Genomic DNA, 15294 nt, shown 5'->3' on the forward strand with positions numbered 1-15294 from the left:
AACACTTTGTGGGGCTGAGGCAGGAGGGCTGCTTAAAGCTAGGAGTTCGAGACCACCCTAGCCAACAGAAAATTAAAAAGATAATAAATTTAATGAAAAAGAAAAAAAGAATTATTTCTCTTGAGGCCAGGAGTTTGAGCAACAAAGACCCTGTCTCTAAAAGGAAGAAAAAAAAATTGCTGGGTGTGGTGGTGCTTTGCTATAGTCCCAGCTACTCGTGAGACTGAGGCAGGAGGACTGCTTGAGCCCAGAAGTTCAAGGCTGTGGTGAGCTATGATTGTGCCACTGCACTCCAGCCTGGGCAACAGAATAAGACCTCATCTCAAAAAAATAATTTCTTCTTGAATTAAACTCTGCTCAATACAAACACTTCCTCCTGGTGACAGGCTGGTCTTTAGTGTACAACTGAGAACAAGACCGACCAACACATCATGCTTAATCATAATCCATTTGCAGTGAGGGCAGATCTGAATCGAATAGAACTCACAATGAGACTGTCCCAGTTTTCTCTGAGAATTAAATGTGCTGTTTTAAATCATCCCTCTTTCAACCATTACTCTTTTGCTCCACAATTAACAAAATACTTAATTCTCTGTTGGTTAGAATTCAACACTCTATAGCAAGACACAAAACAGTGTCTGTGTAGACTTCTTTATTAAGGGGGCTGCTGGTGTAGAACTGTCTACCCAACTAGACAAAAGTCCAGACATGATGTAAACAATCCACTCTCCCCAACAATAAATGTACCGTTCACATATCCTTTCTCAGTAAGGGCATACTCTTTTGAGACAAAGACTGCTTCAAGTATTAAATGAACTTACACAAAGGCGTATAATATATAATTATCTACCATTTTCTATTTGCATACAAATGAAGCAATTGAAGTTTTTCAGTCTTCTGCTGAATGCATTTTTAGGAGCTGCCCTAACTATGCTCTGAGCAAGCAAGTATATAGAGTCTTGGGTGAGTGCAGACACATGAGACTACAACTGAGTATCTGTTCCCAGGACAGAATCCCCAGCCAGGGAGACTTGACCAGACTTGAATTGAGCCCCAGGAACCAAAAAATGGAGGGGCAGGGTGGATTCCATTCTCTAAAGCAGCTGATGACTGCCTGAGGTGGAAGGTATAAACTAATCTCCCTGGGATATAACAAGTATTTAAAAAAGGATTTTCTACAATGAAAATGGTTTTCTTTAAGACATTTCCAAATACTGAATATCAAGGCCAAATTAATTCCATGAGAAACTAATCTTTCAATTATTATCTCTGCCACTCTTCATTCTTTCATTAAAGAGATTTTTAAAAAAGTATACAGAATTTCTCTTTCATTAATAATATTTACCGTGCCCATCAGAACTCCACTAATGGGCCGGGCACGGTGGTTCACACCTGTAATCCCAGCACTTTGGGAGGCCGAGGTGGGCCAATCGCCTGAGGTCAGGAGTTTGAGACCAGCCTGGCCAATATGGTGAAACCCCATCTCTACTAAAAATACAAAAATTAGCCAGGTGTGGTGGTGCACATCTGTAATCCCAGCTACTCAGGAGGCTGAGGCATGAGAATCGTCTGAACCCGGGAAGTGGAGGTTGCAGTGAGCTGACATCGCACCACTGCACTCCAGTCTGAAAAGAGCGTGAGACTCTGTCTCAAACAAACAAAAACAAAACAAAACAAAAACCTCCACTAATGAAAAAGGTGGGGAAAAACAATGTGTGGTTACTAATCAACAACCAAAATCACACCTGGCTGGGACCCAGCAAAGCAGGGGACCAGCTAGTTTTGCTGGAGGCTTGGGCAAGGGCAGCAAAACTGCCAACCTGACTTGGTGCCCTTGGTGCCTTAACTCCTCCAGAAGCTAAGATGGAGGAGCAGAGGGGCAGAGAACACACGGATTTTCAACTTCTCCTCCAACACCCCTGCCCCCCACCACAGCCTGACAGTCTCCTGCAGGAGTAGCAGCAGCTGTGGCTGCTGGTCTCCAAGATCATCAAGAGATACACCTGGAGAAGGCTGAGGTCACCAGAGAGGGGGCTGAAACAGTGTTTTCAGCTGAGTACGGAGTGGCCACAGACTGCTAGAAAAGTACACGTGGCAGTTACCATGGAAACGAAGTGGCCAGATGCTGAAGAAGCAAGAGTTGCCCCTGCTCACTGTGGGACCAGTTGGATGTTGGGCCCTTGATGGACAGAAGAGAAAACGGAAACCTCAATGGAGGCACCCACCACTGCTGTGTCTGGAGTTAACGTGTGTGCTAAGAAACTGTCTTTGAATTACTTCAAAGGCTGAATTCTCAGAAGGTTGCTCCCCAATTATCACATTCTTCCATGTCAAAAGCCCCTGATAAGTATGGAACCTAAGGAGATGTAGCTGATCACATAGAGCATAAACTTTGTTTCTGGGCAAGAAGCTCCCCTAAACCTCTTGCTTTGTAAGAAGTAGAAGGAAGCAAACTTGCCTTAGTGATCAGTTGCGACAGTGACTGATGACCCTAAATATAATCTCCCACACTCTGCAGGAAAAAGAAATCTCAACTCAGTGATAAAATGATCTCCAGCTCCCAACACTTAACCACTGTCCTAGGCCTGATGCGCCTTGAAGAAATACAGCACTGGGGATTAGAGGATGAACTTTCTCTTTTTATTTTCAGTTTCACCTCCTCAGTCTCAGCTTTCTTATTTTAAGAGCTGGCCCCGTTTGTCTGGCTGAATGGATTATCTACCCCCACCATCCTTAATGTATTTCCAGAGGTCTCTAATGAAGACCCTGAGCTTAGAAAACTCAAAACCAGTGCTGCTTTTACTCAGGTTGATTTTCTTCTATTCTTCTTTCTTCAGCAGATTAGGGGCCAGGCACGGTGGCTCAGGCCTGTAATCCCAGCACTGTGGGAGGCCGAGGCAGGTGGATCACCTGAGGTCAGGAGTTTGAGACCAGCCTGGCCAACATGGTGAAACACCATGGCTACTAAAAATACAAAAATTAGCCGGGTGTGGTGGTGCATGCCTGTAGTCCCAGCTACTCAGGAGGCTGAGGCAGGAGAATTGCTTGAACCTAGGAGGTGGAGGTTGCAGTGAGGTGAGACCGTGCCACTGCACTCTAGTCTGGGTGACAGAGCAAGACTCCGTCTCAAAGGAAAAAAAAAAAGGGAATACAAAAGAGACGGAGAAAGCAGTAAACAGTAGTATAATTTAAGAAGCTGACCCCAGAATATATTCTGTATTCCCATGTTTCTTCTATGGGGTTTTACTTCCTTTCAGCAATTTCTTCAAAGAGGTAGTTTATTCTGCAGTACACTTGTTAAGTCTCCTCTGAACATCCTAGAAAGGTTTTTCCATCAGAGCCTCTATCCAACTGGTTCCATTCATTAGTTTAGTGGTGGCAATGACATATTCTGTACCTCCATCTTCCAACTGGGAGAGAAATCGCAGGGCAGCAATTTCAGCGAAGGTTACGCCCCCAAGGAAAAATATCAGAGTCACTCGGTTTTCTCCCGGTTGACCTAAAATTTAAACATTTCAGAATTAAAAACTATTTATTATTAATGCTTCTCTTCCCACCTCTTCAAACATTTTATCATTCATAAGAATAAACAAGTGCCTTCATCCAGACAGTTCATCTGAAACCTAAGAATACTGATTTTGATCTCAACATTTTTTTTTAACTTCTGAGATTCTCAACACAGAAGTTGAAAGCTGCTATCCCTCAGGGAATAATCCGATTCGAGTTCTTACTACATACATTAGCAACGAACAAAAGAGGTGTATTTAATTCTGACTCCTAAGTGCTTTACTATTTTACAAAGCAACTGTACAATACCTGAAAACCACACTAACAGTACATAATTATCTGTAGATGCTGGACTGGGACTTACGTTTCTTCTGCAGTCCTGTGGGCAGTGGCTGCCGCTCCTCAAAGTGGGGCCCTGGGAGGATGCGGAGGACCTCCTCGATGCTCCGCCAGCCAGGCCGGGAAAGCAGCTGGGCCAGCCGCACACTGAGCGGGGCATACCCACTGTACACATACGATATGTCCGTGGGGTTCTGTGAGATAATTAAAGAACAAAAACCCTATAGATACAGAGACTTAGAGCTACCTGACTGTGGCCTTTTGGGTAATCCAAAATTATTTGATTTGGATTTAAAGATATACAACCCCCACCCCTGCCATGCCTTGTTCTAATCCACCCTAGCTGGGCTCAATTTTTAGCAGCCAGAGCTTCAATTTTGACTGAAATCTTGAAAAGCCACTCAAAGCAGCTCTAGGTACAGAAGATGAAGAATTATTTGGTTTGGCATGAAACTTTTTTTTTTTTTTTGAGACAGAGTCTGGCTCTGTCACCCAGGCTGGAGTGCAGTGGCATAATTTCAGCTCACTGCAACCTCCGCCTCCCTAGTTCAAGCAATTCTCCTGCCTCAGGCTCCCAAAGAGCTGGGATTACAGGTGTGCACCACCACTCCTGGCTCATTGTTGTATTTTTAGTAGAGACAGGGTTTCACCATGTTGGCCAGGCTGGTCTTGAATTTCTGACCTCAGGTGATCCACCTGCCTCGGCCTCCCAAAGTGTTGGGATTACAGGCCTGAGCCACCGCGTCCAGCCAGCATGAAACATATTGGGGGGAACTTGGCACTCCCTAGCTGAGCAATGATGTGCAATAACCTTTGAACTTAGCAATTCTACTTTTAGGCATTAATCCTACAGAGGTGCTTGCAGAACAAAAGATAATAGACCAAAGTATAAACGTATTAACTGCAACACTGCATGTAACAGTAAAGACTGGAAACAACCTGAATTTCTATCAATAGCAATCTGTTAAATCATTAAATAAGGTATAGCCTCAAAACCACTATGTAGCAATTTAGAAAAATTAAAAAGAAGGGGAAGATCACAGAAGACCCTTCAAGATCCTTTGTTAAGTGGTGGGTGGGTCCAGAGTCAGAAAGGTCAGAACAGTGAAGACAGCTGAACTAATATGTACATGATAGACTCTAGACATTAAGGGTCTCTATTTTCCCACCGGGAAAAAATCATTTAATTTTGCTCCTGACAGAGGAGACTGTCTAGTTATGAGCTTTTGTTGCAAGAGGCGGCCTAATAAAGTTCCTTATGAAAAACCAAAAAAGACTGAAATTTAGAAACATTAGAATAAGTAATAAATGTAAAGCAAAGTGCACCCCACTTTGGAGACCAACAGTAGAGAATATGCACTCTTTATGTAAAAATGTATATGCACAGAATCTTTCTGGAAGGATAGATAAAAAACTGGCCACAGTGGCTGCCTCTGAGGGGAAACTGTGGAAGGAAACTCACTTGGCCCTGATGGCCCTGCTTTTGCATAGCTTTTTTTTTCCCTTTTTCTTTTTCTTTTTGAGATAGGGTCTCATTCTGTCGCCCATGCTGGAGTGCAGCAGTGCAATCTCAGCTCACTGTAGCCTCAACCTCCCAGGCTCAGCCTCCTGGGAGGCTCCCACCTCAGCCTTCTGAGTACAGTAGCTGGGCCTACAGATGCATGCTCCACCATGCCCTGATCACTTTTGTATTTTTTAGTAGAGACAGGGTTTCACCATGTTGGCCAGGCTGGTCTTGAACTCCTGACCTCAAGTGATCCTCCTGCCTTGGCCTCCCAAAGTGCTGGAATTACAGGTGTGAGCCACCGCGCCTGGCCATGGCTGGCTTGTTTATGAGTGCTGGACATCTCCACTGACTCCTCTAGACACTCTCCACCCTTCTCCGCAATGCTCTGTGCCCGGAGATGGACCTGTGCGTCCCACACCAACACACTCCAATGCCTTCTCTTTGGGTCTGACCAAGACAAAGCACCAGAGTGAACTGGAGAGTGGGCAGCAGTGTGAGGATGACGTTGTCACTGGCCAGCTTCCTCTGCTGGAGGTTGACCATACCCTCAGCCAGAGGCCCCTCACCCCTTACCTCACCAGATGGCCTCACCACAGCTCTTCTCTCCAGGTTCTAAGACAAGTTTCTAGAACACCCCCCTCTCCTTGTCCTTCAGGCCGTGGCTGGCAAGGGCTCCCCACTGCACTGCCTCTCCACTCTTCCCACATCTTTATTTATTTGAGACAGAGTCTTACTGTGTAGCCCAGCCTGGAGTGCAGTGGCACAAACATGGTTCACTGCAACCGCCTCCTGGGCTCAGTGATCCTCTAACCACAGCCCCTCGGACTAAAGGCTCATACTACCACTGGCCATTTTTTTTGTAGAGACAAGGTTTTGCCATGTTGCCCAGGCTGGTCTCGAACTCCTGGACTCAAGCGATCTGACCCTTCAGCCTCCCAATATACTGGGATTACAAGAATGAGCCACCGAGCCTGCCCCATAACTTTTTTTTTTTTTTTTTTGAGACAGAGTCTTGCTCTGTCGCCCAGGCTGGAGTGCAATGGCATGATCTGAGCTCACTACAACCTCCGCCTCCCAGGTTCAAGCAATTCTCCTGCCTCAGCCCCCCAAGTAGATGGGATTACAGGCACGCACCACAATGCTGGGCTAATTTTTGTATTTTTAGTAGAGATGGGGTTTCCCATGTTAGTCAGGCTGTTCTCAAACTCCTGAGCTCAAGTGATCTGCCCGCCTCGGCCTCCCAAAGTGCTGGGATTATAGGTGTGAGCCACCGCGCCCAGCCCACATCTTTATTAAACTCTCCAGAAACTCCCCAGTTTAAGAGCATTCTCTGTGTCCTTCTAGGATTCTGATGGATACAATACATGCATACATTACTTTTTCAAAAACATTAGAAAATTGTTTTCAGAAAGCAAGGCAGATGTGTAGGTTCAGAAGCATGTGTTGTCACCTGGACGATCTAACCAGTCCCTAAGCTGAGACGAGGTGGAGAAGTGTGGCTTACTTGCTCATTAACATCATCCATCCAGAGGCGTAATGTTTTCCGTATAGTTGGGTAATTGTTTCTGCCCCCCGTCTGCGGTTTCAGCAGGCCGGCCTTCTCCAGGTTGTGTAAGGTCAATATGTGCTCATAGCCGTATGTCTGCAAGGGAAGTCATTTGGCCTTGATGTCAGATCAGGAAAAGGATTTCTGCAATTTTCAAAGAAGGGCACTTCCAACAAATCAATTTGGTTTGTACTGCAGGACATGTTACCAAAGTCCAGCAATGTTAGTGGATGGGCACAGAGGACAGGGTGGAGGGATGAAACTTGTCCTAAAACTGCTTGCCTGTTACTATTAATTCAGCTCACTGTTTCAAAGAGAAATTTAAAATTTTTACTTTAAAGTCAGAATTTATGGACCCAATCTAAGCAAGCATCAAATAAATGATAGTATATTTTTATAAGGGATATAATTAGCTCTAAAAAAGAGTAAGGCATATGTATACATCCTGATAAGAAAGGTCTCCAGAATATATTAAAAAAAAAATAACATGTAGAGTAGGACATTATTTCTATTTTTAAAAAGTAGCCAAGGTCTGGGCATGCTGGCTCACACCTGTAATCCCAGTACTTTGGGAGGCCGAGGCGGGCCAATCACTTGAAGTCAGGAGTTTGAGACCAGCCTGGCCAACATGGTGAAACCCTGTCTCTACTAAAAATTAAAAAATTAGCTGGGCCTGGTGGCATGTACCTGTAATCCCAGCTACTCGGGAGGCTGAGGCAGGAGAATCGCTTGAACCCAGGAGGTTACAGTGAGCCAAGATTGTGCCACTGCACTCCACTCTGGGCAACAGGGTGAGATACTGTCTCAAAAAATAAATAAATTTTAAAAAGTAGCCAACACTTATAAAATACTTTCTATGAGCTGGGCACTGTTCTGGTCTAAGCACTTACATACATTAACTCAGTCATCCCGGCTCTAACCCCATGACGTAGGTATCATTACCTTCATTTTACAGAGATGTTTAAATAACCTGCCTAAAGTCACACAGCTAGTGAAGAGCAGAGCTGAAACCTGGATCCAGCCAGTCTTGCTCTGAAGTCTGTGTATGGAAACATTCTGTCTAAATGCAAAGAATGGAGTTTGGAAGGAAGCAAATCAGACTGCTGACACTGGTCACATCTGGGGAGGGAAACTGGGGTATGAGCAAGGTACAGGGGACGTTCACATTTTGCTCTGTGTACTTCTGCATTATTTGACTCTTACACAAGGATACATAACTTAAAAAAAGACAAAAACAAAAAATTAATGAGCACTCAATTTTAATAAAAATGTACTTAACTGTCACTGGTAACAGCAAATAAATACTACCTGAGTCATTTTCAAACAAAGGGGAGACTTTTCAAAAACAAGAGTGGCCTTTTCCTTATTATAAGTAACACAGGCTTAATTTAAGTAAACCTGCTAAGCAACTGTCATCAGAAATTTGCAGAAAGTTCTTTTCCTCCGTGGTATAACTGCGGAGTTAAGAACATGGGCGCTACACTCAAATTGCCTGGTTTACCACTGGCTGTGCCACTTACCAGCCAGGTAACCTTGGGTGAGTTACCTAAACTAGTCTGTGCCTCAGTTTTTCATCCATAAAACTGGGACGATAGCAGTCTCTAACTCACAAGGCTGTTGTGAATATTTGTTGTTGTTGTTATGGTAACTACAGTTAACAAGGAAGTATTGTGAAGATGAAACAAATGAATGCACATAAAGTTTTTCTTTTTTTTTTTTTTTTTTTTGAGACGGAGTCTCGCTCTGTCGCCCAGGCCGGACTGCGGACTGCAGTGGCGCAATCTCGGCTCACTGCAAGCTCCGCCTCCCGGGTTCACGCCATTCTCCTGCCTCAGCCTCCCGAGTAGCTGGGACTACAGGCGCCCGCCACCGCGCCCGGCTAATTTTTTGTATTTTTAGTAGAGTCAGGGTACAGAGCCACCGCGCCCGGCCTATAAAGTTTTTCCAATAGATCCTAGCACATAGTAAATGCTCAAGAAATGTTACCTATTATTATTATTTTTTACTTTTTGTAAACAAGCTATGTTGCCTAGGCTGGTTTTGGACTCCTGGGCTCAAGCAATCCTCCTAACTCAGCCTCCTGGGTAGCTGGGACTGCAGACACAGCCACCATGCCTGGTAAATTTTTGTATTTTTTTTGTAGAGACAGGGTCTTGCTATGTTGCCAGGCTGGTCTTGGCCTCCAGCGATCCTCCTGCCTCAGCCCCACAAAATATTGAGATAACAGAGGTGAGCCACTGTGCCCAGCCTGTTAGCTATTATTATCACACAAATACAATAAACAGTGATGGCTACCAAGACCAATTCCTCTAGGTGTTAAAAAATTTATACAACAGTCGTTACAAGATACCAAAATGGCAGCTTTGTAATTTTTATTTTTTTTAATTTTAAATTTTTTATTATTATTTTTTGAGACAGAGTCTCACTCTGTTGCCCAGGCTGGAGTGCAGGGGCATGATCTTGACACACTGTAACCTCCGCCTCCTGCGTTCAAGCGATTCTCCTGCCTGATCCTCTCAAATAGCTGGGACTACAGGTGCATGCTACCATGCCTGGCTAATTTTTGTATTTTTAATAGAGATGGGGGTTTCACCATGTTGGCCAGGCTGGTCTCAAACTCCTAACCTCAAGTGATCCACCTGCTTTGGCCTCCCAAAGTGCTGGGATTACAGGCGTAAGCCACTGTGCCCGGCCCATGAAGTATTTTTTAAAAAGATGCTGTCCCCCTTGGCAAATTAATAATTTAAAAATATACTCACCTGGAGAATCTCTCTTTTGTAATAATCCAAAACTTTTTGTTTGAGCCCACTATTACACACGGATTGGAGGCAAACTAGTCTTAACACCTTGATCAACGAGTGCTTTTGGGCGATACAATCCTCAATGTAATTGTTGACCTGGAAATAAAGTAGCATACATATACATATACATTTACATATACATACACACACACACACACACACACACACACACACACACAATACATGGTTTAGGAACTTAACTTGATGTTTATTATTATTTTTCAAAGTCCAATAAAGGAGATACGTGGGAAAATGAGTTATTTTTCCACAGTCCCTAACCCTTCCCCGAAATAGCTCTGCTAGCCCCAGCCACACACACACCCTGGCCACCACACACACACACACACCCCACACACACATACATACATACACACACACACACACACACACACACCCCCCAGTGATCAGGCCAAGTCACTGGAGCCCAAGGCCGCTGAGAATACAATTGGTCACTCCATATGCCTGTCTGGACACGTCTGTCTCTAAGGACACGCTTCTGAGAGGCTACCAGATGTCTACTCCATTTCAATAGTATCAACAACTAATCTAGCAAAAAGTATCAGTAATTGTTTTATGTTAGGAATTTTCATAAAGTGAATAATTTAAAATTTGTTAATAGAGCTATTTAAAGGAGTTATATAAGAAACTCTTTCAAAAGAGCAAATACCTTATCTAATACAGTCTTAAAAAGATTTGATTTTAGGGGCCAGGTCTCATGTTGCCATGTATGGCAGAAAGTGTCTTGCACAGAATAATGTTAAATATCTGTTACTTGATAAAATCTACACTTGCACATTTTGCATTTGCTCTTAAAAATATTTAAGTGGCCGGGCGCAGTGACTCACGCCTGTAATCCCAACAGTTTGGGAGGCCAAGGTGGGCGGATCACAAGGTCGGAGATCGAGACCATCCTGGCTAACATGGTGAAACCCCGTCTCTATTAAAAATACAAAAAATTAGCCAGGTGTGGTGGTGAGCGCCTGTAGTCCCAGCTACTCGGGAGGCTGAGGCAGAATGGCGTCAACCCGGGAGGCGGAGCTTGCAGTGAGCAGAGATGGCGCCACTGCACTCCAGCCTGGGCAACAGAGCAAGCTGGGTGACACACAGTGAGACTCCGTCTCAAAAAAAAAAAAAAAAAAAAAAAAAAAAAAGGCAAGGCATGGGAATCAAAGCAATTGGTTTTCTGGCTATAATCTGAGGTTTAATAAGCTTTCAATTACTTGTTAAAGAGGTTTTTTTGTCCACATACCTTATCAGTGTCTATTCCAGACATAAACTCCTGTTCCACGGTTAATTTATCAAAAAAGTCTTCAGAAGCTAAAATGAAATTAGCAAATTTGCAACTTAGAAATTAAATGTTAATTTACTTGAGTGGCATGCTTTTATACACAGAGCACGATTCAGAAACTAGACATGTGGCTGGGCACGGTGGCTCACACCTGTAATCTCAGCACTGTAGGGGGCCGAGGTGGGTGGATCACTTCAGGCCAGGAGTTCAAGACCAGCCTGACCAACATGGCCAAACCCCATCTCTACCAAAAACACAAAAATTAGCTGGGTATGGTGGCACACACCCGTAGTCCCAGCTACTCGGGAGGCTAAGGCACAAGAATCACTTGAGGCGGGGAGGCGGAGGTTACAGTGAGCCAAGATCACACCATTGCTCTCCAGCCTGGGCAACAGAGCGAGACTCTGTCTCAAAAGAAAAGAAACCAGACATCATGCAAAAAAGCAAGCAAGCAATAAGTTCAAGTCATCACCTGAAGAAAATCTTTTAGGAAACATGGAAAACGCTAGGCCTCTGCACTCCTAAGTTACACTAGATACAGTCGACAAGTGCACTCTTTTGTATCCTTAGGATTTCAGTACAGACCCCAGAATGAGCGTCAGTATGAATGAAAGCTAATTTCTCAAGAACATTTCATTTTCATCATTAGGTTCAACCCAATTTCAACTGGTTTCCACTCCTATGAACAGGGAAACAAAGGACTGATTTTCCGATAACTGTGATTTACTTAAGATTCGAAGTATACTTCATAAAACAATCTCCTACTCAGCTTTTACAGCCCTGTGTTGTAACAAACAAACAAACTCATGTCTGCTTTAATAGATGTCTTCTGAGCTCTTTCAAAATACTCAACATATACTCTTTGTACCAATTCTGCACAGAATATTCAAGGGAAGAACATGCGCCAATAAGTAATCCTTCAAAAAAGGAAAAAAGCTGCTGGCCGCGGTGGCTCATGCCTGTAATCCCAGCACTTTGGGAGCCAAGGCAGGCGGATCACCTGAGGTTGGGAGTTTGAGACCAGCCTGACCAACATGGTGAAACACCATCTCTAGTAAAAATAGAAAATAAGCCAGGCGTGGTGGCAAGTACCTGTAATCCCAGCTACTTGGGAGGCTGAGGCAGGAGAATCACTTGAACCCGGGAGGCAGAGGTTGCGGTGAGCCAAGATTGTGCCATTGCACTGCAGCCTGGGCAACAAGAGTGAAACTCCGTCTCAAAAAAAAAAAAAAAAGAAAAAAAGCTAGACTAAAAAAATTAACCATCTCAGATTATGATGGCAAACTTATGGATAATTTTTTTCTCTTATCTACATTCCAAATATTTTTCATATAAATGATAATGAAAAAATTTGAGTTAAAAAATGGACCCTTCCTCTCTTTCTCTTTTTCTTTCTTTCGTTATTTCGAGATGGAGTCCTGCTCTGTCGCCCAGGCCGGAGTGCAGTGGTGCAATCTTGGCTCACTGCAACCTCTGCCTCCCGGTTCAAGCAATTCTCCTGCCTCAGTCTCCTGAGTAGCTGGGATTACAGGTGCCCGCCACCACACCTGGCTAATTTTTGTATTTTTAGTACAGATGGTGTTCCACTATGTTGGCCAGGCTGGTCTCGAATGCCTGACCTCAGGCGATCCACCTGCCTCGGCCTCCCAAAGTGGTGGGATTACAGACATGAGCCACCTCGCCCAGTCTTTTTTTTTTTTAATGGAGTCTCGCTCAACCAGGCTGGAGTGCAGTGGCGTGATTTCAGCTCACTGTAACCTTTGCCTCCAGGGTTCATGTGATTCTCATGCCTCAACCTCCTGAGTAGCTGTAACTACAGGCATGTGCCACCATGCCCAGCTAATTTTTGTATTTTTAGTAGAGACAGGGTTTCGCCATGTTGCCCAGGCTGGTCTTCAATTCCTGGACTCAAGTGATCTGCCTGCCTCAGCCTCCCGAAGTGCTGGGGTTACAGATGTGAGCCATCATGCCTGGCCAACAAATGGAACATTCTTTTTGTTTTGTTTTTCGAGATGGAGTCTCACTCTGTCACCCAGGCTGGAGTGCAGTGGCGTGATGTCGGCTCACTGCAACCTCCGCCTTCCAGGTTCAAGCAATTCTCCTGCCTCAGCCTCCCAGGTAGCTGGGACTACAGATGCATACCACTGTGCCTGGCTAATTTTTGTATTTGTAGTAGACATGGGGTTTCATCATGTTGGCCAGGCTGGTCTCAAACTCCTGACCTCAAGTGATCTGCCCGTCTTGGCCTCCCGAAGTGCTGGGATTACAGGCATGAGCCACCATGCCCCGCCTGGAATATCCTTAACTATTAACATATGTATACTTCATTAACACTGAGAAGAACACGTGGTATTAAGACAGAGCTGACTCTCCCGAAGAGGCATTGTGGTGTTGATGACCTAGGTGTCAAACGTTGTATGTGCAAGTAGCCCCAGACTGAAACAATCATTACAAAGGATACTCACTAGTGACATCTTTGATCAATTCTGCAATTGAGGTATGGTTTGCAAGCGAGCCCCTTGCTGCCTGCATGTGGGGCAACTGGGAAACAAACTGCTTGATCTCCCCCACGGTCTTAGCATTGTGTCTTTCCTGAAATAAACAAGAGAGCAGTGCCTCAAGCAGGGAAGATAGTTTATTTATTTTATTTTTTTGAGAAGGACTCTCGCTTTGTTGCCCAGGCTGGAGTGCAGTGGCGCAATCTCGGCTCACTGCAACCTCCGCCTCCCAGGTTCAAGTGATTCTCATGCCTCAGCCTCCCGAGTAGCTGGGATTACAGGTGCCCACCACCATGCCCAAACTAATTTTTGTATTTTTAGTAGAGACAGGGTTTCACCATATTGGTCAGGCTGGTCTCGAACTCCTGACCTCAGGTGATCCACCCACCTTGGCCTCCCAAAGTGTTAGGATTACAGGCGTGAGCCACCACGCCTGGCCGATATTTTAAGTGCTTTGTTTTTTGTATTGTTCAGAGGATGTTTCATTTATATTAATGAGAAAGGAAGAATGGAATACAAATAAATCATTACATTACATAAAAAAAGAGAAAAGAAAAGTATATATATGACTGAAATAATAGAGGTCATGGTGCCTGTCTCCTGAATTAGCACTTCTTTAAAGAAGCAAATGCCTCAGAGTCTGTCTTCCAATGTACCAGCTTAAACACTGTGTCAGTATTTTGTGGACATCTGAGTATTGGTGAAAGATAGTACTATATAAACCATACAAATTTCTGAGTAAAAAACTAAGACAAAAAATTATGTTTAGAGGGTACCATAAAGAGGAAAAGTTTCCTGTGTAACAGAAAAAAATCCATTTTTTCTGTTGACCCTCAGTCTTTTATTTGATGTTGAGACAGGGTCTCTGTCGCCCAGGCTGGAGTGCAGTGGTGTCATCACAGCTCACTGCAGCCTCCGCCTCCTAGGCTCCTACCTCAGCCTCCCAAGGAGCTGGGATTACAGGCACACGCCACTGCCCAGCTAGTTAAAAAAAAAAAAAGTTTTGTAGAGACAGTGTCTTGCTGTGTTGCCCAGGCTGGTCTAGGACTTCTGGGCTCAAGCGATCCTCCTGCCTCAGCCTCCGACAGTGCCGGGATGACAGGCGTGAGCCACTGTGCCTGGCCTGAACCTTAGTCTTGAGTATAGTCTATGAACAAAGCGAACATAGCTTGGTGATGATAATATTTTTTGGCAAAATTTAATAACTTAAACCAAAAGTAACTTCAGAAATATGAAAATCAATTAATGAACATAATTCCTGAGAAAGATAAAATCTGGAATTACATGGCCTAGTTCCAAGCCAGCCTGGGCAACGCAGGAAGTCCCCATCTCTACAGAAAAAAAAACAACAAAAAACTCTGCCAGGCATGATGGCATGTGCCTGTGGTCCCAGCTACTCGGGAGGCTGAGGTGGGAGGATTGCTTGAGCCTGGGAGGTAGCAGCTCAGTAAGCCATGATTGTACCACTACACCCATCCTGGGAGACAAAGCGAGACCCTGTCAAAAAAAAATCTAGAACTACATACTCAGTGAAAAATTCATTTTCAAAAACTTCCCATTTATGTTTCCAAAGTTGAAATATTCAGACTTTATGATCTTGTTGAATTCCCATGTTTCAAAAAGGAGCCTGAGCAAGAATAAACTAGTGAACGGGCAAGAGGAGGCAGGAAGGTGATAATGAAGCCACCAATTTCAAAGCTCGGGGTTGCTGGGGATTTCAGTCTCATTATCACCTGCCACACGTGCTGACTTCCCCTGCCGCAGTCACACTGGCTAAACTTGAGTTTTCAGCATGAACCACAAGTTCT

The 15294-nt window shown here is 44.3% G+C and overlaps 1 protein-coding gene across 4 annotated transcripts in view; it reads right to left on the minus strand.

Moving 5' to 3' along the window:
• VPS33A (VPS33A core subunit of CORVET and HOPS complexes) overlaps positions 636-15294 on the minus strand; it is a 36931-nt gene continuing 22272 nt past the window's right edge. For 3 of the 4 annotated variants that reach the window (NM_022916.6, NM_001351018.2, NM_001351019.2), the window contains exons 8-13: positions 13454-13580; positions 10950-11017; positions 9659-9796; positions 6858-6995; positions 3872-4040; positions 636-3499 (exon numbers count right to left, since the gene is read on the minus strand). In NM_022916.6, coding sequence (NP_075067.2) covers positions 3318-3499; positions 3872-4040; positions 6858-6995; positions 9659-9796; positions 10950-11017; positions 13454-13580 — 822 coding nt within the window. In that variant the 3' untranslated portion in view covers positions 636-3317. The remainder of the gene's footprint in view (positions 3500-3871; positions 4041-6857; positions 6996-9658; positions 9797-10949; positions 11018-13453; positions 13581-15294) is intronic. The other variant, NM_001351020.2, reaches the window with a different exon arrangement.

Source organism: Homo sapiens, chromosome 12 (genome assembly GCF_000001405.40).
Source record: "Homo sapiens chromosome 12, GRCh38.p14 Primary Assembly".
Taxonomy (NCBI): Eukaryota; Metazoa; Chordata; class Mammalia; order Primates; family Hominidae; genus Homo; species Homo sapiens.